The 27,028-nt window shown below is 39.0% G+C and overlaps 4 annotated features.

Annotated features, from left to right (window-relative positions):
• Window positions 3,087-3,136: an enhancer, noted in NCBI's record as "active region_15869". NCBI's record gives its function as "activates an Ori minimal core promoter by ATAC-STARR-seq in GM12878 lymphoblastoid cells {active_cell/tissue: GM12878}" and the evidence as "EXISTENCE:reporter gene assay evidence [ECO:0000049][PMID:35858748]".
• Window positions 5,417-5,526: an enhancer, noted in NCBI's record as "active region_15868". NCBI's record gives its function as "activates an Ori minimal core promoter by ATAC-STARR-seq in GM12878 lymphoblastoid cells {active_cell/tissue: GM12878}" and the evidence as "EXISTENCE:reporter gene assay evidence [ECO:0000049][PMID:35858748]".
• Window positions 5,577-5,676: an enhancer, noted in NCBI's record as "active region_15867". NCBI's record gives its function as "activates an Ori minimal core promoter by ATAC-STARR-seq in GM12878 lymphoblastoid cells {active_cell/tissue: GM12878}" and the evidence as "EXISTENCE:reporter gene assay evidence [ECO:0000049][PMID:35858748]".
• Window positions 18,245-18,746: an enhancer, noted in NCBI's record as "NANOG hESC enhancer chr2:62874108-62874609 (GRCh37/hg19 assembly coordinates)". NCBI's record gives its function as "activates a minimal SCP1, AML or CMV promoter by ChIP-STARR-seq in primed H9 embryonic stem cells {active_cell/tissue: H9 hESC(primed)}" and the evidence as "EXISTENCE:reporter gene assay evidence [ECO:0000049][PMID:30033119]".

The raw sequence follows: 27,028 nt of genomic DNA, 5'->3' as shown, positions 1-27,028 counted from the left end.
GTTATGAAGAAAACGTACATTGTGAAAGACAAGGCAATAGCAAGAAAAAGCATGCATGGGGCAGTGATTTCCAAATTTTGAATTTTATAGGCCAGTGCAAGAATTTTGGAAACTGACATCAGGTTGCTTAATACTTCCTTTTTGCCCAAAATCTTCCTAGTAACTCTTTAGACTTATATCATTTTGTTAACAAAAATAAATAAATTGTAAAAGCAAAAAGGTAGGAAGGACACAGTATCAGAAGTTTATATTCTGAAAATGAATACATTCAGTATCAGGAAAAACTCACCTTACTCTTCCACTTATCTGTTTTTTCATTCATTAGCCAAATATTTATTAAGTGATAGGCACCAGAAATTTTTCTAGGTGGTAAACATGACAGGGAAGGTCCCTGTATTCAGGGAGCTTGCTTTCTTTCTTTCTTTCTTTCTTTCTTTCTTTCTTTCTTTCTTTCTTTCTTTCTTTCTTTCTCTCTCTCTCTCTCTCTCTCTCTCTCTCTCTCTCTCTCTCTCTCTCTCTCTCTCTTTCTTTCTTTCTTTCTTTCTTTTGTATCAGAAAACAGGTCATGGAAACCTCATAACCAACCAGTGTCAACCCAGTCACTGGCCCATGCACAGGCATCTGGAAGCTATGGCATGACTACTTAGACACTGATAAGAAGGTCCAGTCCCTGCTTCTAAGCTCTGAAGGAGGAAGCAGGAAGCTGTCACAACATGCAGAGACTGTGAGTGTAGAGGCAGATGAGCAAAAGCAGCAACCCTGCCCAAGCATCTTCTCCCTCGGGCCAGTGAGCGTGTGCTGGGCTGAGGACAAGCCCTCAGGCCATTACTCTTTGTGAGTACAACCCCTATCTATATAAATAGAAAATTATCATTTTTCTAGAAGTTATCATTTTTCACCATGAAGGACAACAACATATAATTTAGTCCAAAGAATCCCAAAATACAGGGCACAAGTGATGTGAAACAGTTGTCAAAGTGTGGAGATAAGTCTTAAGAAAAGACAGAGGGGAATGAGATAGTCTCAGCCTGACTATATTGGGAGTTCCTCAGTTTGTTTCTCACCAGGATTCCAAAGAAAATAGCTGGATGTTGTGAAATATGAGCTTTCAAAAGTGCTATAGAAAACTTTTAGCACTGTTCAAAGCTGGGAGCACTCAGCCAATAAAAATAAGATACTTGCTCTTATTCTGAAATCCCAAATTAAACAAACTAAGGTCAGAGTAACAACTGTGTTTCACTCTAGCATGCCTCAGTGAGAAACTGGAGGAGACAGCCCTGGGACTGAAAAGCCCCCTGTACCACCTTGAACTGTTAGATTCAATAAGATGACATTGTATTTATATTGTGCTTTCTTTCTAAAAGTCACAATCAAGGGAATGTAGCACCTAACATAAACCATCAGAACTTGTCACAATACCTTCCATATGTAATATACTGAGAGTCTCACATGACAGTCTCCAGTATCCTAGCCTAAGATTTGTAAAATGGAACAAAAACACATTCTCTATTCCAGAGAAACTCTTCAGAGCTCAAATATGTGTTTAGGAGAGAGAGAGAGAGAGAGAGAGAGAGAAGAGAGAAAGAGAGAAAGAGAGACAGAGAGAGAGAGAGAGAGAGAGAGAAGAGAGAAGAGAGAGAGATGTAAAAACCCAATGACATTTTCCAGGGCCTCAGTTTCTAGAACTTTTTCTTGCAGCATTGCACTGCAGAGGAAGAAGGAGGCAAAGTTTGTGAGTGTCAGCTTCCTGAACACTTTGACAATAAGAGCAAAAAGAAAATGATCAAGAAACTATAAGCAGAAGGTTCCTCCTCATCACAGCATTTCAGGAATAAAAAGAAAAAGATTTACTAAAATTAGCCACAGTGTTAAACCCTAAAGCAGAAAGCTTTAAATAAGGCAAATGGTCTAAATGCAGAGCTTCAGGCAACTTTATCAACTTCATGTTATACATCATAGCTAGCAAATTAATTATTCCCAGATGTTGGGATGAAGAATGCTGCTGAATTGTTTTGCTTCTCCAACTTTTCAGTATAAACACACACTCACAGGGTTACATTCCCTTTTTTGGCTCCCAACATGCAAGTAATTATACACTGTGCAGGATAATGTTGGATGAGCTCTCAAATGAATACCAAGCAAGTTCTGGGTTCTGTCAGCCTTTTGGATACCATGTCCACAAGCATTTTTTTCTGACAGTCTTTAGTAACAACTTGTAAACAAACTGTTTCTAGTTAAAAAAAATATTCAACAGCAGTACAACCTCATTTATAAATTATTCCAAACTCCTTTAGAGCTGGAGAGGGATAAATTCACCTTAAATATAGTGCAGCTCCTTTTTGCATCAAGAACAGTTTTTCTACAATCCTTGTGAGCAGGGCTCATAATTCATAATAGTTTTTATATTTTTACATTCCTTATGTTTTGCCAACATGTAAACAAAGAGAAGAAAAAAGCAGGTTATGAATCAAGTGTGAATTGAGAATGTGTTTAGGATTAAACACAGATTCTATGACCATGGCCAGAATGAAGAGAGTAAAGGGTCATATTTTCTAATCCAGCTCCAAAGTTTCATAGGACAAATTTCTGCTGTCAGGTGAGTCATGGAGGGATTTTTTAGGGGGCTACCTGAGGCCTTCACACTTCTTGGAATAAACAAACCTGATGAATTTGTCCTGGGTCGTCATATAATGAGGCACAGGTGTGTGTGTAAAATATAGAAGTGGGGGAGATAAAGACAACACAGGGAAAAACTTAGAAATGGTTAAAGAAAAAAAACACATTTTTTGCAGAAGGGAGAAGTTCTGTAGTTCTGCCAACTGCAACACAAATGACAGGAAAAGTTCAAGGAAAGTTGATATCTAAAAAGAAATAAATAAAAGGAAATTCAATGAGAAACAATATTCAGGTCAGGTCAAAGCCTAGAGAAAAATGCGCATTCAGAAGTGGGCTGCCATCCTGCTTTTTCTGAAGTGAACAGCTGCTGGGTATTGAAACCAGCCCTCACGGTTGGGTCCCTGCCACCATGGCAACACTCTGGTTTCTGAGCTGGAGTGGCCAAGGCACAATGGGGTGGTTCCATGGCCCAGAAGCACTCTAGCTACAGATTAGGTAGGTTGTGTGTGTGTTTTTTCCTTTGTGTATATTTGGGGGACTTTGATTCCTGGGTTTGTGTTCGGCTATTGGAAACTTTTCTAACCTATCATAAGCCCTGACCTAAGCAGCAAATTTTCATGCAAATAGCAGCATGGAAAGGAAGAACTGAGGTGTTCAACAGGCAAATAATGTATTTCCAGTCTCTTTTAAATGATTTCTTACAAATCTCTAGCAGGTTCTGGGCATTTGTAACTGGTCCCTTGCATTGTACCTTTAGGATGTTTTTTAAAATAGTGCTTAGCTTGCTTTTTATATTTTTAGTTTATAATAACACATGATCCTAAAAGGAAAAGCTATCATAATCTTGTAAACTGAAAAAGTTAGCGAATAAAGACTTTGATATTAAAAATATAGCCTATAGCTTATATATTATATATGCAGAGCTCCAATAATTAGCACATTCAACTGTTGAATTCACCATCACGGTTTCATTAGTATTGCAAGCTAAAAATTTTATCTACTAGTTAAGTATAAAGAAAATTCCAAAATAATAACCTCATAATGTAGCATAGTAAGTGATAGCATAGACTTTAGAGCCAAACTGCTTGAGTTCCAATCCTGGCATTTATTAGCTGTGTAATTTTGGGCAAGTTACTTAAACTGTCTATGACTTTATTTCCCCTCTATAGAATGATGACAAGAGTAATACCTTCCTAGTGAAGATGACTGTGAGTATTAAGTGAATTTATATTTGTAAAGTGCTTAAAATAGTGTTTGGTTAGTATCATGTAAGTGCTTAAAAATAAATAAGTAAATACATAAATAATTTAAAATTATTTTTTAAATAATTTAAACCTTTTTTGATAGTGGGAAATGCCACCTTTGGAATTCAGGACAGCACAGTATATTTCTATATCTATATTCCCACTCAGAAAATGTTAAACTTCTTATTTACATCTAAGACTTGTAACTCACTTGGAGTCATGCAAGGCTCCTTGAATTGATAAAGCAGCTTGTTTGTGAATTTAGCCAATTTGTAAGTGAGCAAGGGGGAGGGCTTTGAGAAATATATACTAGATCTTCTGATTCATTTAGATCCTTCAAATGCTTAAGTGTTCATTACAAGCACAAGGCACAGTGCTTGCTAAACTGAGCAAGCACAAGATGCCACCCCATGCTGAGATACCCATCGCTGTACTCTCCTAGCAGTAGCCAAGCAGTCTCAGCCTCCGAGGGATGGAAAGCCCAGCACTTTTTCACCTCCGTAACAGGTTGGGTTGTATCATTTCTAGCATGGCTTGTTCAAGGGCTTTCCATTTCATCCTAGATTTCCACTGGTACTGAAGAGCCCACTCATGTGCTCAGATGCACAATTTTCATGGTATCCATTCATATTAGGCCATGCCATTTCTTACAAAGTGTGGAAATGCATTATCTTCTGTTGTGGGGCTGCCTGAAACTGGCTCTGCTACACAATCCTGTTCTTCTGTTTACACGTCACTAGTTGAGTATGTGAAGACATTTTGTGGTTAGGTGTCAATGGTTGCAAAATGCTTTCACAAATCTTGTTAGGATATTTGGGTGCATTCCAAACAAATATGCTATTCCACTACCCAGAGGATCTATAACTTTTTGGAATCCAGTCTAGCTGGAGCTAAGAGGTTAACATTTTAGCCATTGTTTTCAAATTGAGTCACATATGTTCAGTTCTAAGAACAAGGATTAGAAGTCATTCTGGGACCTCAAAGAAAATCAACATCTATCTCAGTTTGCAAAATGGCAAAATTCTATTTGTATGTAATGAGGGTGTTTCCCCCTTTACAATTATTCAAAATGGGGTCACGTAAGCAAGGAAAAGTGAGTACATCTAAGCATAGGGCTGAGTGCTGAAAGGACAAAGACTGAAATTAGTAGGTCACCTCAGAGTTTAACATATATCCTGTTTTCTAAGAAAACAAATGTACTATCAGATCCAGTAAAACTTTCTGTGGAAAATATTTTGGAAGCCAGAAGCAAAATTAGAGAAAGGCAGTATTCCATAGTTAAAGGAAACAGAAGCTGCCACCTAGAAGAAACTCAGACCCACTGAAGCTATAATGGTTTGAGAAGACACAGAATTGAGCAAATTGACTTTACTGTTCCAGGAGGTTTAAATAGAAATCTTTAAAAAGCTGTCTCCTTTTTCTACATTTTACTCCAAGGATTGAAAAGGCCTTAAACAAGAATGTTGGCTCTAGTATTTAGCTATACTTAAAGCAGACGGGAAATTAGGAAGTGTACCTGGGCTTCAGTTTCACTTTGGACACTTGTCAATGTCTGAAAGGTTACTTTCCCTTTTTGAGATATTAATAACCATGGTGGTGGCAGCAGCAGCTATTAGCAGTAATAGCAGTAGAATTAGTGATAGAAGCAGAAGCAGCAGTGGTAGCAGCAATGATACAAAGAGCCGTGGTAGTAGCAGCAGTAGTACTAGTAGCAATAGCAGTAGTAGCAGTAGAAGTAGTAATAGCAGCAGGAGCAGCAGCAGCAGCAGCAATAGTAGCAAAGCAGCGATAGTTGTAGCCATAGTAGCAGCAATAGCAGCAGTTTCCATTTATTGAGCAGTCTATCCTCAGACACTTGAATAGGAACTATATAAAGACTGTTTCATTTAAACCCATGATGACCTTTCAGAGTAGGTATTAATACCCACATTTAACTACCGAGGAAGCAGGACCAGAGAGGTTGTGTAATTTGTTCACTTAGTTGGAAAGTGGAAAATCTGGATTTTGAATCTGGATTGATTGGATTACAGAGCCTTGCACTGCTTTTGGGAAACAGATGTGGTATCAAGCAGGGTTTCTCAGACATGAATGTACTTATAGGAATCATGTAGAGACCTTATAAAAATGGAGATTCTGATGCAATTGGTCTGGTGGGATGCCCAAGACCCTGCATTTCTCACAAGCTCCTAGGTGGTGCTACCGGTCCAAGCACACTTTGACCAGCAAAGGGATAGTGGAAAGAAAGTATGCTTTCCAGTCACAATCTGTGACCTCAGTTTACTCATCTATAGAAGAAAGGGGTGTAATAAGATAATTTTAAAGGTACATTCCAGGCCTAAAATCCCAGTATGCAGGGTGTAATAAGGTATTAAGAAACCAGATCACACAGGAATGACTGTTAGCCGCATGAATTTTTAAACTGGTTTCAGTTGAGATGCTGGCTGTGATTTATGTATCTTCCTGAAGCATCACTGACAGGTGGGGATCAGCCACCCTCACTCAAATTACATTATTGTTAAGCTTTAGGCTGAACTAAAATCTTACTGAAAGAGTTCAAAGCACTTCTTTCCATAAGCATCTTTAAAGATTATGAATGTAAAAATAGTTTCTTATGAGAAGCTTAGATGGCAGGATTTTTCTTTTTAATAACAGAGATGAGAAGTCTCCAAAACCATAATGGTAGCACAATCCATAAAAATATGTTAATGCCTCATTTTAAAGTCTCACAGAAATTGAGGTTTTCTGAGTTAACAAAATAGACTTCATCACAGATGGTCTGAATGATAAAAGGAACCAGTACACTAGTGTAGCAAGACTAAAAACACCGCTCTTAGCTGAGCACGCTGAAAGCCTTTAAGGAAATCTTTCTACAAATAGCATTGTTAAGTGTTGAAGTAAAAATGGTGTTGATTGGCAAGGGCACTTCAAATGCTTTAGGCAAAGCTCAGGGCCATAGGTGTACAATTTTACAAGAAATTATTTCCAATTAAAATAATATTAAGACACATTTTCTCATCATCTTATGCCTAACACAAGACATTGACACCAAAGAAAGTAGTTTTTGCTCTCTTCCAAGAGCTACAGTCCAGATCACTAAGAGAGATGCCATGAGTTTCTTTTTTTTTTTTTTTTTTTTTTTTTTTTTAACTCAAACAAGGGCAGGGGTTGGAGTAGAGCATAGTCGAGAGTCTATGAGTCTCTGAAAAAGGATTTCCTAATGGTGAGGAGTGTTAGAAACCGGAATTGGAATCCTTTGATAGGGCTTTAGAAATCACATAAAAATACACATCCACTCAGAATGGCCTAAATATATTTGTCTGAAGCAATCTAGTCAGGAAATATTTGCTGTCACAATATGCTTTTTATGGTCTGCAAGGGTGGCCCATATTTATTTAGCCAACTCTCAATTATCTATGGAGTGATAGTCAAACTTTTTGAGACATGGAGCTACTTTTTTATAAATAATTTCTTATGAAGAACCCCAAAATGTGAAATAGATTAAAAACAGAGCTACTCCATTTAAACTTTGGGAAGAAGATTCCCCTTAGACTCCACTGTAGACAACATTGGTTGCGTTCCAGCCATTAACTGCTGCTTAACACACCACCCCAGAACTTAGCGGCTAAAAGCAACACTTTATTATCTCTCTTGGTCCTGTTGGTTGACTAGGCCTAGCCAGGAAGTTCCTGCTTGGGGTCTTTCATGCAGTAACAGTCATGATGCCATCTGAAGGCTTTGTTGGGCTGGATGTCCAAGATGGCCTCTTCATTCCCTTGTCCAGCACTTCAGGTATCCTTGGATTCTTTCTGTCTCCATGTGGCATCTCATCCTCCAGGGCCTTTTAGTGTGGTTTGTGATTCTCACAGCATGGTGATCTCTGGGTAGTCACATTTCTTACACAGCAGCTGTCTTCTAAGAGACAGGAATTGAAACTGCCAGGCCAATTCATGGCTATGCACAGAACCTGTACACCACAACTTCCATTGTATTCTGTTGTCAAAGAAAGCATGGGGCCTTCCAGGTTCAAGGGGGTGGAGAAATAGCCACCTCTTGATGGAAGGTAGCAGTGCCACATTACAGAAGAACATGTGGGATGGGAGATATTGTTGCAGCCATGCTTGGAAAATGCCATCTGCCACAGTTGAAAAGCACTATGGTAATAAGGATCTGAAATAGTGTGGAGAATCAAAATTTACAAACAATCATAGGGTCTTCTTAAAAATCCCGTCCTTATTAGAGATTTTAATTATAATCATGTACAAAATTAAAAGTAGTGTTTGGTTTTATTTATTTTCTCTATTAGCAGAGATATTAATGTTATATCCTATTGGGCAAAATGTTATGAGCTGCTATTTATTGGGGGAAGGGAGGCAATGTGAAAAAGGGAAATAGGGACATCAACGGTGTTGAAAGACAGTCAGTCCTCCTACTCCCTATTTTCTATATCAGAGAACACAACTGGTACAGACACAATGTGACCCCAGAACATTCAGGTTAGAGAGACAGATAGAAAGAAAGCTGCTGCAACATGTAACCATTCCTGCCAATCAATAAAGCAGGCAGCTGGCATTTTGCAGAGCATTTTGAAAGAAAGCAAAGCCTTCTGTAGAAAGCAACCAGCAAAAACTTAAAGACTGCACTTTGAAGAACCCATAAACAAAACCTATAAACCTGCCATTGGAACTAAAGTCCTGGGCTGGGCACAGTGGCTCATCCCTGTAATCCCCACACTTTGGGAGGCTGAGGCAGGAGGATCCCTTCAGGCCAAGAGTTCGAGACCAGCCTGGGCAATACAGCAAGACCCTGTCTCTTTTTATAAAAGAGAAAAAATAAAAAGAAGTGAAGGCCTCAAAAAGAGAAGTGGAATACTAGCACAGAGAGCTGGGACAAGAGGATTTCTAAAACCTACAAGAACAAGAACAGTTCTTAGGCCATACTAATTAGGGGCTTTCTCTAGTTCCTTAGTAAGGAAAGGACAAAGACTGCGGAATACACAATAAATAATATATTAAATACAAAACACCCTTTACTACATTTAACTGTATATGAGAAAATATGTAAGTATTAAACTCTCATTTCGGAAAGAAGACTTAGTTGTTCTCAACAAATCCATTGGTTGTCTTCATAAATTCCAAAATTAAAAGACTCTAAAATTTCATAGGTACCTGAGCTGAATGCACACTCACTATTATGGTCAAGATTCTTGTGCCCAGAATGGACAAAATCCTTCAGAATTCTTCCTTCCCAAGTTTTATTTATGTCTGGATGTGCCACATGTTACATTACCATATCCATGAGGATGATGGAAAAAGAGTCCAGAATAGTCTGAGACTTAGTTTTGGCTCTATGAATTACCCTCTGTAGCTCCAGCTGGAAGAACTAGTTTGAACACATCTGGAGGCCAAGTATGGATTAGAGAAGCAGGTTTAATATTTTTTCTTACCAAGGGAAATTAGCTACTGGAAATTGCTCAAATTATTACTGTCACAATCTTCTGCTACCAGGGTAAGATTTTCAGAGAATTGTTCTCAAGGAGATGAAGTCTGATCAGTCTTGATGAGATTACTTTGTACGGATGGCCTTATTCTAAGATTTTAAAAACAACTGTGGGCATGAAATATCATGGATGATTGTAGATTTGTGTGTATGGGGAACAGGAAGGTTGGTGGGGAGGGAATCAGTTGTCAGAGTGAAGAAGAAGAAGGAAGGAAGGAAGAAGGAAGAAGGAAGAAGGGAAAAATAATCTCTATGAGTCCTTTTTTTTTTTAAGTTTCTTGTTTGTAGAAGTTTTATACATAAAACTTATTTTTTGGATCTGATACTGCTCTTCTACGACCACAGTTTATTGCTACATGGTTCTTTGTGATCAGTCAGTCTTCTGCTCCCTCTCCAGTCTCATTTTTCTCATGAAACTCCACATCACCAAGCCACGCTGAAGGTATATGGAATGACATTCATGTTTTTGAATATGCCATACTCTTTCACAACTCTGTGTCTTTGCGCCTTGAATACCTTTTCTTTCTTTGGCCATCAAGCAAACATCAACTCTACTAATAAGATTACTTAAAAGTAATCTACTTTTAAGAGTTGACTCAAATATTACCTCCACTATGAAGCCTTTCTTTACCTTGAAACTTATCCCTACCCCTTACCAGGGACAATTGACCAATCCCTCCTTTGTAATTCCTTTTATTTTTAGCATATTTCTATAGTGATACTGCCACATTTAATTGCTTTTTTTTTTTTTTTAAGAGATGAGATCTTGTTCTGTCACCCAGGCTAGAGTGCTGGAGTCCAGTGGTACAATCATAGCTCCACCACCACACCTAGCTAATTTTTAAAAATTTTCTAGAGATGAGGTTTCAATACGTTGCCCACGCTTGTCTCAAACTCCTGGTCTCAACTGACTCTCCCACAGCAGCCTCCGGGAGTGTTGGGATTATAGGCGTGAGCCACTGCACTCACCTACCTGGCACTTCTTTTTATTTAAGTGTCTGCTTCCCCCTACCAAGTAGCAAGCATCCTCAGAGCAGCTCCATGGATTCTTTTAAAGATCTGGGACTTCAGCTTTTCATTCAATTTTGTAATAGTTCTCAGCTTCTTCCAATAAATTCCACTTTTGTGCTCAAGTTAGCTGAAGTCACTTTCTATTATACATAACCACAGAACCCTAACTGTTACAGTAATTTCCTGAAACTGAACCAATTGTTTGAATGGAAGGGACTCAGGAAGCTCAGAGCACAAAAAAAGGAGACCCTAAGAGTAAGAAATTGGCAAAGTTTGTCCAGCACTTTTCAGAGGAGAGTGTGCTCAGCTTCTGGGAACTCACTCAGTCTGGTAACTGAAGAAGTCTCTTGTGGGTCAAGGATAATTCTACATACCTCATCATGGCCTGGACGATATTCTTAAGATCATTCTCCACTTTTTTCTCTGACTCCGTGTTTCCCACCCAAACTTACAATCATAAATTCAATTCTCCGGGTATTATGAGATCAGGAAAGAAGCAGCTTTAGTAATTGGAAAGAAGTATCCTCCATTTTAAGTGAATAACATCTGTAAGTGAATAACATTATACAGCAACTTCTTGAAAGTTTCGACAGCAGCTCAAGTCAGTTGTCTCAGTCTGAAAAGAGTCAGAGCCCTAGCAATGGTGAGTTTCTCAGTCTGCAAGACTGGCCTGAGGTGACCTCACCAAGGTGGTGCCACCCTTTGGGGTTTACCAGGAATGCCACAGTTTGTCCAGATTATACTATTCTTCCATGCCATGCCTCATTTCACCACAATACTCATAAAACCTTAGCGGTGAATAAGTCTTCAAGGTCCACATTCCTTGCTATATGAGGGTTAGACAGTAAGTTAAACTGAATTCCAATCATTGCCTAAAATTAGGAAGTTGAGCGAGCAAGGTTTAGTTTTACCTTCATATGATAAAAGGTTTTAAGAAAATTGATGATGTAAGGCAGTTCTCTCCTTCTCTGTTTTTTTTTTTTCTGTGACAATACAAGAACAGTGTTGGCATGAGCAACACAGACCCATGTGCATTTCCTGACTCCATCTCTGTAACCCACCCCTGCCTTTTCTCTTAAGAAGCACATGGAAATGCAAACGTGTGACTGTGATATTATTGTGATAACCTTAAATGTTCTCGGATTTATTGTTAAAAGTGAATCACTTGCGAACTTTGATACTTCTACTATGATTGGTATGAAGTTGCTTGCAACATATCGGTGTGTCCTGTTGAGACCTGCAGATGTAAATATTGAAGGAAGAATGTTTGAGCTAATTATTACCTAAGTTGTTTATAAGAATTTTCTGGTGTTTGTGGAATTAACCTACCAATTTCACTCTTTCTTGTCAGTTTCAGTAGGAGGAACAGAAACCCAATCTGCTATTACTGAGAACTTGAATTGGAGTCCATACTGGAAACCAATAAATCACTTCCATTATCAAGAACTTGTTCATTTGTCTTGGTCCCTCCTCGTAGATTTGGGCTGACCTTTCTAATCAAGTTAAATAAACAATGTTTTGCTGAATACTAAAAGACTGGAGAAAGCCCAAGTCAATTGACAGTGATGCCCTTTTCATTCTAAGATTATTGATTTAGATTCCTCAACTCCACAGAACTCCATCCCTGGCTGCAGGTTGAATACTATGGATGCCAGGGAATGCCTTACTTAGGCCACCTGGGGACTTATTTAGTACTTGACTTATAATTTTTAAATTATTATCATTATACTTTAAGTTTTAGGATGCATGTGCACAATGTGCAGGTTTGTTACATATGTATACATGTGCCATGTTGGTGTGCTGCACCCATTAACTCATCATTTAGCATTAGGTAAACCTCCTAATGCTATCCCTCCCCGCTCCCCCCACCCCACAACAGTCCCCAGTGTGTAATGTTCCCCTTCCTGTGTCCATGTGTTCTCATTGTTCAATTACCACCCATGAGTGAGAACATGCGGTGTTTGGTTTTTTGTCCTTGCGATAGTTTGCTGACAATGATGGTTTCCAGCTTCATCCATGTCCCTTCAAAGGACATGAACTCATCCTTTTTTATGGCCACATAGTATCCCATGGTATTTATGTGCCACATTTTCTTAATCCAGTCTATCATTGTTGGACATTTGGCTTGGTTCCAAGTCTTTGCTATTGTGAATAGTGCCACAATAAACATACGTGTGCATGTGTCTTTATAGTAGCATGATTTATAATCCTTTGGGTATATACCCAGTAATGGGATGGCTGGGTCAAATGGTATTTCTAGTTCTAGATCCCTGAGGAATGGCCACACTGACTTCCACAATGGTTGAACTAGTTTACAGTCCCACCAATGGTGTAAAAGTGTTCCTATTTCTCCACATCCTCTCCAGCACCTGTTGTTTCCTGACTTTTTAATGATCGCCATTCTAACTGGTGTGAGATGGTAGCTCATTGTGGTTTTGATTTGCATTTCTCTGATGGCCAGTGATGGTGAGCATTTTTTCATGTGTTTTTTGGCTGCATAAATGTCTTCTTTTGAGAAGTGTCTGTTCATATCCTTCACTCACTTTTTGATGGGGTTGTTTGTTTTTTTCTTGTAAATTTGTTTGAGTTGATTGTAGATTCTGGATATTAGCCCTTTGTCAGATGAGTAGGTTGCAAAAATTTTCTCCCATTCTGTAGGTTGCCTATTCACTCTCATGGTGGTTTCTTTTGCTGTGCAGAAGCTCTTTAATTTAATTAGATCCCATTTGTCAATTTTGGCTTTTGTTGCCATTGCTTTCAGTGTTTTAGACATGAAGGCCTTGTCCATACCTATGTCCTGAATGGTATTGCCTAGGTTTTCTTCTAGGGTTTTTATGGTTTTAGGTCAAACGTTTAAGTCTTTAATCCATCTTGAATTAATTTTTGTATAAGGTGTAAGGAAGGGATCCAGTTTCAGCTTTCTACATATGGCTAGCCAGTTTTCCAAGCACCATTTATTAAATAGGGAATTGTTTCCCCATTGCTTGTTTTTCTCAGGTTTGTCAAAGATCAGATAGTTGTAGATATGCAGCATTATTTCTGAGGGCTCTGTTCTGTTCCATTGATCTATATCTCTGTTTTGGTACCATTACCATGCTGTTTTGGTTAATGTAGCCTTATAGTATAGTTTGAAGTCAGGTAGCGTGACGCCTCCAGCTTTGTTCTTTTGGCTTAGGATTGACTTGGTGATGCAGGCTCTTTTCTGGTTCCATATGAACTTTAAAGTAGTTTTTTCCAATTCTGTGAGGAAAGTCATTGGTAGCTTGATGGGGATGGCATTGAATCAATAAATTACCTTGGGCTGTATGGCCATTTTCACGATATTGATTCTTCCTATTCATGAGCATGGAATGTTCTTCCATTTGTTTGTATCCTCTTTTATTTCCTTGAGCAGTGGTTTCTAGTTCTCCTTGAAGAGGTCCTTCATATCCCTTGTAAGTTGGATTCCTAGGTATTTTATTCTCTTTGAAGCAATTGTGAATGGGAGTTCACTCATGATTTGGCTCTCTGTTTGTCTGTTATTGGTGTACAGAAATTATAACAAACTGTCTCTCAGACCACAGTGCAATCAAACTAGAACTCAGGATTAAGAAACTCACTCAAGAAAATATTCCTGGGGTGGGTTGGAGCCAAGATGGCTGAATAGGAACAGCTCCGGTCTACAGCTCCCAGCATGAGCCATGCAGAGGACGGGTGATTTCTGCATTTCCATCTGAGATACCGGGTTCATCTCGCTAGGGAGTGCCAGACAGTGGGCACAGGTCAGCGGGTGCGTGAGCCGAAGCAGGACGAGGCATTGCCTCACTCGGGAAGTGCAAGGGGTCAGGGAGTTCCCTTTCCTAGTCAAAGAAAGGGGTGACAGACGGCACCTGGAAAATCGGGTCACTCCCACCCGAATACTGCACTTTTCCGACTGGCTTAAAAAACGGAGCACCAGGAGATTATATCCTGCACCTGGCTCGGAGGGTTCTATGCCCACGGAGTCTCGCTGATTGCTAGCACAGCAGTCTGAGATCAAACTGCAAGGTGGCAGCGAGGCTGGGGGAGGGGCGCCCGCCATTGCCCAGGCTTGCTTAGGTGAACAAAGCAGCTGGGAAGCTCGAACTGGGTGCAGCCCACCACAGCTCAAGGAGGCCTGCCTGCCTCTGTAGGCTCCACCTCTGGGGGCAGGGCACAGACAAACAAAAAGACAGCAGTAACCTCTGCAGACTTAAATGTCCCTGTCTGACAGCTTTGAAGAGAGCAGTGGTTCTCCCGGCATGCAGCTGGAGATCTGAGAATGAGCAGACTGCCTCCTCAAGTGGGTCCCTGACCCCTGACCCCCGAGCAGCCTAACTGGGAGGCATCCCCCAGCAGGGGCAGACTGACACCTCACACGGCCGGGTACTCCAACAGACCTGCAGCTGAGGGTCCTGTCTGTTAGAAGGAAAACTAACAAACAGAAAGGACATCCACACCAAAAACCCAACTGTACATCACCATCATCAAAGACCAAAAGTAGATAGAACCACAAAGATGGGGAAAAAACAGAGCAGAAAAACTGGAAACTTTAAAGAGCAGAGCACCTCTCCTCCTCCAAAGAAACGCAGTTCCTCACCAGCAATGGAACAAAGCTGGACGGAGAATGACTTTGACAAGCTGAGAGAAGAAGGCTTCAGACGATCAAATTACTCCGAGCTATGGGAGGAAATTCAAACGAAAGGCAGAGAAGTTGAAAACTTTGAAAAAAGTTTAGAAGAATGTATAACTAGAATAACCAATACAGAGAAGTGCTTAAAGGAGCTGATGGAGCTGAAAACCAAGGTTCGAGAACTACGTGAAGAATGCAGAAGCCTCAGGAGCCGATGCGATCAACTGGAAGAAAGGGTATCAGTGATGGAAGATGAAGTGAATGAAATGAAGTGAGAAGGGAAGCTTAGAGAAAAAAGAATAAAAAGAAACGAGCAAAGCCTCCAAGAAATATAGGACTATGTGAAAAGACCAAATGTATGTCTGATTGGTGTACCTGAAAGTGATGGGGAGAATGGAACCAAGTTGGAAAACACTCTGCAGGATATTATCCAGGAGAACTTCCCCAATCTAGCAAGGCAGGCCAACATTCGGATTCAGGAAATACAGAGAACGCCACAAAGATACTCCTTGAGAAGAGCAACTGCAAGACACATAATTGCCAGATTCACCAAAGTTGAAATGAAGGAAAAAATGTTAAGGGCAGCCAGAGAGAAAGGTTGGGTTACCCAAAAAGGGAAGCCCATCAGACTAACAGTGGATCTCTCAGCAGAAACTCTACAAGCCAGAAGAGAGTGGGGGCCAATATTCAACATTCTTAAAGAAAAGAATTTTCAACCCAGAATTTCATATCCAGCCAAACTAAGCTTCATAAGTGAAGGAGAAATAAAATACTTTACAGACAAGCAAATGCTGAGAGATTTTGTCACCACCAGGCCTGCCCTAAAAGAGCTCCTGAAAGAAGCGCTAAACATGGAAAGGAACAACCGATATCAGCCGCTGCAAAATCATGCCAAAATGTACAGACCATCGAGACTAGGAAGAAACTGCATCAACTAACGAGCAAAATCACCAGCTAACATCATAATGACAGGATCAAATTCACACATAACAATATTAACTTTAAATGTAAATGGACTAAATGCTCCAATTAAAAGACACAGACTGGCAAATTGGATAAAGAGTCAAGACCCATCAGTGTGCTGTATTCAGGAAACCCATCTCACATGCAGAGACACACATAGGCTCAAAATAAAAGGATGGAGGAAGATCTACCAAGCAAATGGAAAACAAAAAAAGGCAGGGGTTGCAATCCCAGTCTCTGATAAAACAGACTTTAAACCAACAAAGATCAGAAGAGACAAAGAAGGCCATTACATAATGGTAAAGGGATCAATTCAACAAGAAGAGCTAACTATCCTAAATATATATGCACCCAATACAGGAGCACCCAGATTCATAAAGCAAGTCCTGAGTGACCTACAAAGAGACTTAGACTCCCACACAATAATAATGGGAGACTTTAACACGCCACTGTCAACATTAGACAGATCAATGAGACAGAAAGTCAACAAGGATACCCAGGAATTGAACTCAGCTCTGCACCAAGCGGACCTAATAGACATCTATAGAACTCTCCACCCCAAATCAACAGAATATACATTTTTTTCAGCACCACACCACACCTATTCCAAAATTGACCACATACTTGGAAGTAAAGCTATCCTCAGCAAATGTTTTACAGAAATTATAACAAACTATCTCTCAGACCACAGTGCAATCAAACTAGAACTCAGGATTAAGAATCTCACTCAAAACCGCTCAACTACATGGAAACTGAACAACCTGCTCCTGAATGACTACTGGATACATAACGAAATGAAGGCAGAAATAAAGATGTTCTTTGAAACCAACGAGAACAAAGACACAACATACCAGAATCTCTGGGACACATTCAAAGCAGTGTGTAGAGGGAAATTTATAGCACTAAATGCCCACAAGAGAAAGCAGGAAAGATCTAAAGTTGACACCCTAACATGACAATTAAAAGAACTAGAGAAGCAAGAGCAAACACATGCAAAAGCTAACAGAAGGCAAGAAATAACTAAAATCAGAGCAGAACTGAAGGAAACAGAGACACAAAAAACCCTCCAAAAAATTAATGAATCCAGGAGCTGGTTTTTTGAAAAGATCAACAAAATTGATAGACCGCTAGCAAGACTACTAAAGAAAAAAAGAGAGAAGAATCAAATAGATGCAATAAAAAATGATAAAGGGGATATCACCACTGATTCCCACAGAAATACAAACTACCATCAGAGAATACTACAAACACCTCTACGCAAATAAACTAGAAAATCTAGAAGAAATGCATAAATTCCTCGACACATACACTCTCCCAAGACTAAACTAGGAAGAAGTTGAATCTCTGAATAGACCAATAACAGGATCTGAAATTGTGGCAATAATCAATAGCTTACCAACCAAAAAGAATCCAGGACCAGATGGATTCACAGCCAAATTCTACCACAGGTACAAGGAGGAACTGGTACCATTCCTTCTGAAACTATTCCAATCAATAGAAAAAGCGGGAATCCTCCCTAACTCATTTTATGAGGCCAGCATCATCCTGATACCAAAGCCTGGCAGAAACACAACCAAAAAAGAGAATTTTAGACCAATATCCTTGATGAACATTGATGCAAAAATCCTCAATAAAATACTGGCAAACTGAATCCAGCAACACATCAAAAAGCTTGTCCACCATGATCAAGTGGACTTCATCCCTGGGATGCAAGGCTGGTTCAATATATGCAAATCAATAAATGTAATCCAGCATATAAACAGAACCAAAGACAAAAACCACATGATTATCTCAATAGATGCAGAAAAGGCCTTTGACAAAATTCAACAACGCTTCATGCTAAAAACTCTCAATAAATTAGGTATTGATGGGACGTATTTCAAAATAATAAGAGCTATCTATGACAAACCCACAGCCAATATCATACTGAATGGGCAAAAACTGGAAGCATTCCCTTTGAAAACTGGCACAAGACAGGGATGCCCTCTCTCACCACTCCTATTCAACATAGTGTTGGAAGTTCTGGCCAGGGCAATTAGGCAGGAGAAGGAAATAAACGGTATTCAATTAGGAAAAGAGGAAGTCAAATTGTCCCTGTTTGCAGACGACATGATTGTATATCTAGAAAACCCCATTGTCTCAGCCCAAAATCTCCTTAAGCTGATAAGCAACTTCAGCAAAGTCTCAGGATGCAAAATCAATGTACAAAAATCACAAGCATTCTTATACACCAACAACAGACAAACAGAGAGCCAAATCATGAGTGAACTCCCGTTCACAATTGCTTCAAAGAGAATAAAATACCTAGGAATCCAACTTACAAGGGATGTGAAGGACCTCTTCAAGGAGAACTACAAACCACTGCTCAAGGAAATAAAAGAGGATACAAACAAACGGAAGAACATTCCATGCTCATGGGTAGGAAGAATCAGTATCATGAAAATGGCCATACTGCCCAAGGTAATTTACAGATTCAATGCCATCCCCATCAAGCTACCAATGACTTTCTTCACAGAATTGGAAAAAACTACTTTAAAGTTCATATGGAACCAAAAAAGAGCCCGCATCGCCAAGTCAATCCTAAGCCAAAAGAACAAAGCTGGAGGCATCACACTACCTGACTTCAAACTATACTACAAGGCTACAGTAACCAAAACAGCATGGTACTGGTACCAAAACAGAGATATAGATCAATGGAACAGAACAGAGCCCTCAGAAATAACGCCGCATATTTACAACTATCTGATCTTTGACAAACCTGAGAAAAACAAGCAATGGGGAAACGATTCCCTATTTAATAAATGGTGCTTGGAAAACTGGCTAGCCATATGTAGAAAGCTGAAACTGGATCCCTTCCTTACACTTTATACAAAAATCAATTCAATATGGATTAAAGACTTAAACGTTTGACCTAAAACCATAAAAACCCTAGAAGAAAACCTAGGCATTACCATTCAGGACATAGGCATGGACAAGGACTTCATGTCTAAAACACTGAAAGCAATGGCAACAAAAGCCAAAATTGACAAATGGGGTCTAATTAAATTAAAGAGCTTCTGCACAGCAAAAGAAACCACCATGAGAGTGAATAGGCAACCTACAGAATGGGAGAAAATTTTTGCAACCTACTCATCTGACAAAGGGCTAATATCCAGAATCTACAATCAACTCAAACAAATTTACAAGAAAAAAACAAACAATCCCATGAAAAAGTGGGCGAAGGACACGAACAGACACTTCTCAAAAGAAGACATTTATGCAGCCAAAAAACACATGAAAAAATGCTCACCATCACTGGCCATCAGAGAAATGCAAATCAAAACCACAATGAGCTACCATCTCACACCAGTTAGAATGGCGATCATTAAAAAGTCAGGAAACAACAGGTGCTGGAGAGGATGTAGAGAAATAGGAACACTTTTACACCATTGGTGGGACTGTAAACTAGTTCAACCATTGTGGAAGTCAGTGTGGCCATTCCTCAGGGATCTAGAACTAGAAATACCATTTGACCCAGCCATCCCATTACTGGGTATATACCCAAAGGATTATAAATCATGCTGCTATAAAGACACATGCACACGTATGTTTATTGTGGCATTATTCACAATAGCAAAGACTTGGAACCAAGCCAAATGTCCAACAATGATAGACTGGATTAAGAAAATGTGGCACATATACACCATGGAATACTATGCAGCCATAAAAAATGATGAGTTTACGTCCTTTGTAGGGACATGGATGAAATTGGAAATCATCATTCTCAGTACACTATCATAAAAACAAAAAACCAAACACCGCATATTCTCACTCATAGGTGGGAACTGAACAATGAGAACACATGGACACAGGGAGGGGAACATCATACTCTGGGGACTGTTGTGGGATGGGGGAATGGGGGAGGGATAGCATTGGGAGATATACCTAATGCTAGATGACGAGTTAGTGGGTGCAGCGCACCAGCACGGCACATGTATACATATGTAGCTAACCTGCACATTGTGCACATGTACCCTAAAACTTAAAGTATAATAATAATAATTAAAAAAAAAGAAAAAAGAAAAAGAAACTCACTCAAAACCGCTCAACTACCTGGAAACTGAACAACCTGCTCCTGAATGACTACTGGGTACGTAACGAAATGAAGGCAGAAATAAAGGTGTTCTTTGAAACCAATGAGACCAAACACACAACATACCAGAATCTCTGGGACACATTCAAAGCAGTGTGTAGAGGGAAATTTATAGCACTGAATGCCCACAAGAGAAAGCAGGAAAGATCGAAAATTGACACCCTAACATCACAATTAAAAGAACTAGAGAAGCAAGAGCAAACACATTCAAAAGCTAGCAGAAGGCAAGAAATAACTAAGATCAGAGAATAACTGAAGGAAATAGAGACAGAGAAAACCCTCCAAAAAATTAATGAATCCAGGAGCTGGTTTTTTGAAAAGATCAACAAAATTGATAGACTGCTAGCAAGACTAATAAAGAAGAAAAGACAGAAGAATCAAATAGATGCAATAACAAATGATAAAGGGGATATCACCACCGATTCCCACAGATACAAACTACCATCAGAGAATACTATAAACACGTCTACGCAAATAAACTAGAAAATCTAGAAGAAATGCATAAATTCCTGGACACATACACCCTTCCGAGACTAAACCAGGAAGAAGTTGAATCTCTGAATAGACCAATAACAGGCTCTGAAATTGAGGCAATAATTAATAGCTTACCAACCAAAAGAAGTCCAGGACCAGATGGATTCACAGCCGAATTCTACCAGAGGTACAAGGAGGAGCTGGTACCATTCCTTCTGAAACTATTCCAATCAACAGAAAAAGAGGGAATCCTCCCTAACTCATTTTATGAGGCCAGCATCATCCTGATACCAAAGCCTGGCAGAGACACAACAAAAAAAAGAGAATTTTAGACCAATATCCTTGATGAACATTGATGCAAAAATCCTCAGTAAAATACTGGCAAACTGAATCCAGCAACACATCAAAAAGCTTATCCACCATGATCAAGTGGGCTTCATCCCTGGGATGCAAGGCTGGTTCAACATAGGAAAATCAATAAACATAATCCAGCATATAAACAGAGCAAAAGACAAAAACCACATGATTATCTCAATAGATGCAGAAAAGGCCTTTGACAAAATTCAACAACCCTTCATGCTAAAAACTCTCAATAAATTAGGTATTGATGGGAAGTATCTCAAAATAATAAGAGCTATCTATGACAAACCCACAACCAATATCATACTGAATTGACAAAAACTGGATGCATTCCCTTTGAAAACTGGCACAAGACAGGGATGCCCTGTCTCACCACTCCTATTCAACATAGTGTTGGAATTTCTGGCCAGGGCAATCAGGCAGGAGAAGGAAATAAAGGGCATTCAATTAGGAAAAGAGGAAGTCAAATTGTCCCTGTTTGCAGATGACATGATTGTATATCTAGAAAACCCCATCGTCTGAGCCCAAAATCTCCTTAAGCTGATAAGCAACTTCAGCAAAGTCTCAGGACTTATAATTTTTGTCTCTAGAATGATAGACCTATCTGTGTAGAACTTATAGAAGCAGGTGATACTTAATTAAAGGTCACAATGATATGTTTTTTAGGCCAATATCACACAGAATACATGTGAGTTAGGCCCTAAAGTTTGGAGTAGTATGCTGTGATGATTTATACCTTTCACGGATGGTTTTGGTACTGCATGTTCTTTTTTAAAACACAATCATGAGTCTGCCTCCTGCATGCAAGGAATTACCTAGAAACAGGGCAATGAATTAAAGATGGCACAGCTCTCTTTGTTTAATGTTTCCTATTTTTCAGGGGTTTGTTTTGCAACTTTAATATTATTAATCTACACAACCTTTTACTTTTCATTCAGAATTTATATCAGAATCAAGCTAATAAATTAAAGATGAGTTAGTTCATTGTTGGGTGGTTTAATGTAGACCTAGTATGTTAATCCCGATGTGTTTGTTACTAGGGTTTTAAATTATTATTATTATTATTATAATATTTGCCTTGTAGCTGTGGTTAGGCAGCAGCAATAAATCAGAATAAAGGAATGAAGGTATTGGGGCTTTAGGGGAAACATATATTAGAAAAAATTGGTTTGGGACTAAGGGCTTTATTGCATTAAGATGGATTTTAGAGATACAGAGGTAAGAGAATGTAGACAAATAAACTGTATAAATAATTTGAGAAATAGTAAGTCTGTACAGGTCCCAAGTAACCCTGTAAGCCACCATCAACAGGACTTCGTAACTCCTGTTCAGACAGACCAAACAGGTACACTCTACTTAAACAAATAGCCAGGAGAAATGGGCACATGGCTAACGCTAGGGAAAGTGGGAGAAACAGATAAAGCTCTTTAACATAGCCCAAAGGATTGGAATAAAAGAAGTCAGTGTAGGAGTCTGACAAGGCATCTTCTGTGAATAGGGCTTTATAGCCACTCTAGGCGCTGATATTGCAAACACAGGCTAAGGCAACCAAAAGCTGGGAGCCTTACAGTGCAACACACCAGTGCCCGAGAATATAGTTCTCTGCAGTAGGGAATTCGTTTTGGCAGCCTGAATGTGGAGGAGACAGGAAGAAGCATTCAAATAAGGCTGAGCATATAAATAAATGACATGGTGTGAAAGATGAAGTTGATGGGAACAAGTTTGGACCATTCCAGGGACACGAGGAAGTACAAGGATGGCAGAAAGTACAGAAAGAATAGAAAGAGCAAAAGGGACCTTTCTTAGTAGCCTGAATGGTACCTGAACTGAGAGAGTCATATGTTCTGGAACAGATTTTATTCTCAACTAAAGCATAGAAGTTCTGTAGATAGGAAGAAACAGTTTTTTTTTTTGAAGCCTTGAACTTGCTTTTGTTGGTTGGATATGTCTGCTTTGTCCCTAGTTCTTTCATCTAAGTTGATCCAGTTACACATCACTGTGCAGGGAACAGACCCTGTCCTCATTCTTATCTTTGATGTTCCCTAGGCTCACTTCCTATTTGTTCACTTGACTAGCTATTCTCTGGCCCTGCTTCCCATCCCCTGGACTCTGCTTGAGGCTTTGAGCCCCTGTACTCTACCTTACTGACCTTTCCCTTATCCTTTTTTATTTACTGTCCCTTAGCTTCCCGAACAAGGTGTATTTGACAGGACATGACTGCTAGACCACTGGTGGTTATCTCCAAGATAGTAGTAATCATGATAATGACCATGCTGTCCCATACAGCCTGGCTATACATTGTCATTTTAAAAAGAATGTATTTCTTTGGCATCATGGATTTGCAGTAGCTGAGAGCCCTAATGCAGGTAGAGGTAAAACATGTTTTCAATCCCCTTCCTTCCCATCTTGATCAAATAATACATGGACTGTGACTTCAAGAAATTTACAAATGAGTATGAATGATTAAATATAGATATTAAAAGTTCATAACAGAAGTAAAGAATTGTTTTCAAAAACGGTAGAAGAAAAATCACAAGCCAGCACATGATTACGTGGGTAAATGCATGGGTACTAATTGGACAAAAATTCAAAAGCGGGAGAGAAAGACCACTTCCAGCTAGAAAGGTCAGGGGCACTTTTCAGGCTTATTAATTAGTCAGGGAAAGTTGAAGGTTTGCACTTGAGCTTTTGTGGGGTCTCCAGAGTTCTAGTTCAGAAAAGGAAAAGAAAGACAAGATATTTTACAGCTCGACTACTAATGAGCAGCTGACAAGAAAGGACATGGACAGATAAATCTCACTGTTTACATTGAACTTTTACTGCAACCTTTTTTATATCTTCCTGTGAAGAAATGTGTATCACCACAATCTTGAACCACAATCTTGAAGCATCTAAAATTTGACATTGCTTTTCTCGGGAAAGCCTGTGAAATGTGAATTGACAGAAAAATTCTGTCTGCAGGTCAGTGTATGCAGACTAAGAAGTTTGTGCTCTTCAAACAGCCTGAAGCTAAAAGCAGGCTATTTTCACTCTTTGGTTAAATGCCAGCTAAATTCATTTGAATACTGCACTGTCAGTATTTTATTTATTTGTCCTGATGCCACATTTCCTCTCCCAAATCTCTCTTGCATAAATGATTTACTATTTGTTCCTAAGGCTGAAGATTTTATGCCTTGTCTCTTTTTTCTGATAAGAGGATATTGCAGCAGCTTTCCTTTTGTGCTGCTGATGGTTTTTATTTTAGTTCAAAGTTCAGCACAGTAACTAGCTTAGTAAGGCACAGAAAACCAAGAGGTTTGGTCCTTGAAACAGCGAAGACAGTAAATCTTCACTGGCCTATTATCACATAAAACCCTGCTGAATTTGTTTCCCTAAAAAGTCAGTTAGCAAAGTGTGGTTCTTAAAATAGGTTTTACATTTTCTTAACTCTCCAAACTAAGCATATTTAAGTATAGGACACTTAAGGTCCTTAAGATTAAGTTAAGAAAAAATACTTTTATAATGGAAACCCACAAATTTTATAGGATGTTTTTTCTTTAAAAGAAAAAGGGAGCTATTCTTTGTGGGTGTACCCTCATTAGGTCTTCAGAATATGTCTTGACATAGGAAGGTAGAGTGCTCAACATTTAGGAAAAGGATTATGTGATTTTTTTAAATTTAGTTTTTTAAAGGTGGCACTTGAGATATTAATTTACATTAAGAAAATTATATTCCATAGTTCTTTGTGGTGGTGGTCACTAGACTAAGCTAAAAGATTTAAAGTTAAAACAAAAATCAGCCAACAAATATAGAAAATTAATTCATCAGGTCAGTACTGAACTACTGTCCAAACTCAAGACACAAGTCAATAGAAAGTCTATTCCATATTAAAGTTTGCAAGCACAATAGAGACATAACCCCTGGAAGCTTTTCTGTCTCTAACCTTTCCTCACTTGGGATGTGGGGACTAAATTGGCGATAGAATCCCACATTACTCTCAGAATGATTAACCAGTTTCCTGAATTGCCATTATTCTTTCCAAATTTCTAGGCTGTAGACCTCTGGAAGCAACAAGTACCCCATGATTAGGAAAACTGATGAGAAATAAAGAAGAACAAACTTAGTTCTTGGGTGTCAGTGGGTCGATGCAACTGATTGCATTCCATGCCAAAAGAGAAAATGGCAGAAACCTCATAGGATGCTTCTGTGATCCTATGTAAATAAATTTCTCCAGATTTCACTAGTTATATGTCAACTCAGAAACATTGGTTAAATAGAACACAGTTTAGGTCTATATAGTGTTTCTTCTTTCTCAGAAAAGTGTAGCATAATTCACAATTAAAATAGAAGGCACACTTTACTACAGCTTTCTCAAAAATGGACAGATTAAACCAATGAAAATAAATGAAGACATAGAGAATTTGAATACAGTTCAAAAACTAAATCTCATATATATATAAAACTTTATAGCCAATAAACAGAAAGTATATAGTTTTTTCAAATATCTATGGAACTTTTATAAAAACTGATCATATATTAAGCTACAAAGACAATCTCAATAAAATTCTCAAAGTTGAAACCATGTGATACATTCTCTGACCATATTGCAATTAAAACACACACACGCACACATACACACACATGCTCCCAAGTCCAACCATTTGAAAAATTTAAAAACAGGCTTCAAATTTCCCCATGGATTAAAAAGAAAGAAAAATGATGAGATCATTGAATATTGGAAATGAGTGACTATGGCATCTTTACATATAAGAAATCAGAGAATCAGAGGAATGTGACCTGAAAATCTGCCATTGCAAGCTCTGAAGATACAGCAAGAGGGCCATGAGCCAAGAAATGCACCAGCCTCTAGAAGCTTGGAAAAACCCTCAATTTACAGCTAACAAGAAAATGGAGACCCTAGTCATACAAATGCAAGGAACTGGATTCTACCAACAACCTGGGTGAGCACAAAATGGATTCCCCCCTAGAGCCTCCAGAAAGGAACACATCCTTGCAGATGCTTTGATTTTAACTCAGTGAGACCCATGTTGAACTTCTTTTTTTGTGTGGTTTTTGCCATAAAAAGCATTACTTTTTTTTAATTATTATACTTTAAGTTCTGGGATACATGTGCAGAACATGCAGGTTTGTTACATAGGTATACACGTGCCATGGTGGTTAGCAGCACCCATCAACCTGTCATCTACATTAGGTATTTCTTCTAATGCTATGCCTCCACTAGCCCCCACCCCCGACAGGGCCTGGTGTGTGATGTGCTCCTCCCTGTGCCCATGTGTTCTCATTGTTCAACTCCCACTTATGAGTGAGAACATGCAGTGTTTGGTTTTCTGTTCCTGTGTTAGTTTGCTGAGAATGATGGTTTCCAGCTTCATCCATGTCCCTGCAAAGGACATGAACTCATCCTTTTTTATGGCTGCATAGTATTCCATGGTGTACACGTGCCACATTTCCTTTATCCAGTCTATCACTGATGGGCATTTGGGTTGGTTCCAAGTCTTTGTTATTGTGAAAAGTGCTGCAATAAACATACATGTCCATGTGTCTTTATAATAGAATGATTTATAATCCTTTGGGTATGTACCCAGTAATGGGATTGCTGGGTTAAATGGTATTTCTGGTTCTAGATCCTTGAGGAATCACCACACTGTCTTCCACAATGGTTGAACTAATAACATTCCTACCAACAGTGTAAAAGCATTCCTACATTCCTACTTCTCCACCTCCTCTCCAGCATCTGCTGTTTCCTGACTTTTTAATGATTGCCATTCTAAGTGGCATGAGATGGTATCTCACTGTGATATTGATTTGCATTTCTCTAATGACCAGAGATGATGAGCTTTTTTTTCATATGTTCCTTGGCTGCATAAATGTCTTCTTTTGAGATGTTTCTGTTCATATCCTTAGCTCATTTTTGATGGGTTTTTTTTTCTTGTAAATTTAAGTTCCTTGTAGATTCTGGATATTAGCCCTTTGTCAGATGGATAGATTGCAAAAATTTTCTCCCATTCTGAAGCTTGCCTGTTCACTCTCATGATAGTTTCTTTTACTGTGCAGAAGCTCTTTAATTAGATCCCATTTGTCAATTTTGGCTTTTGTTGCCAT

The sequence above is a fragment of the Homo sapiens genome, chromosome 2, assembly GCF_000001405.40.
Source record: "Homo sapiens chromosome 2, GRCh38.p14 Primary Assembly".
Taxonomy (NCBI): domain Eukaryota; kingdom Metazoa; phylum Chordata; class Mammalia; order Primates; family Hominidae; genus Homo; species Homo sapiens.
Note: the sequence above shows the minus strand (reverse complement) of the source record. Positions and strands in the feature narration are given on the sequence as shown.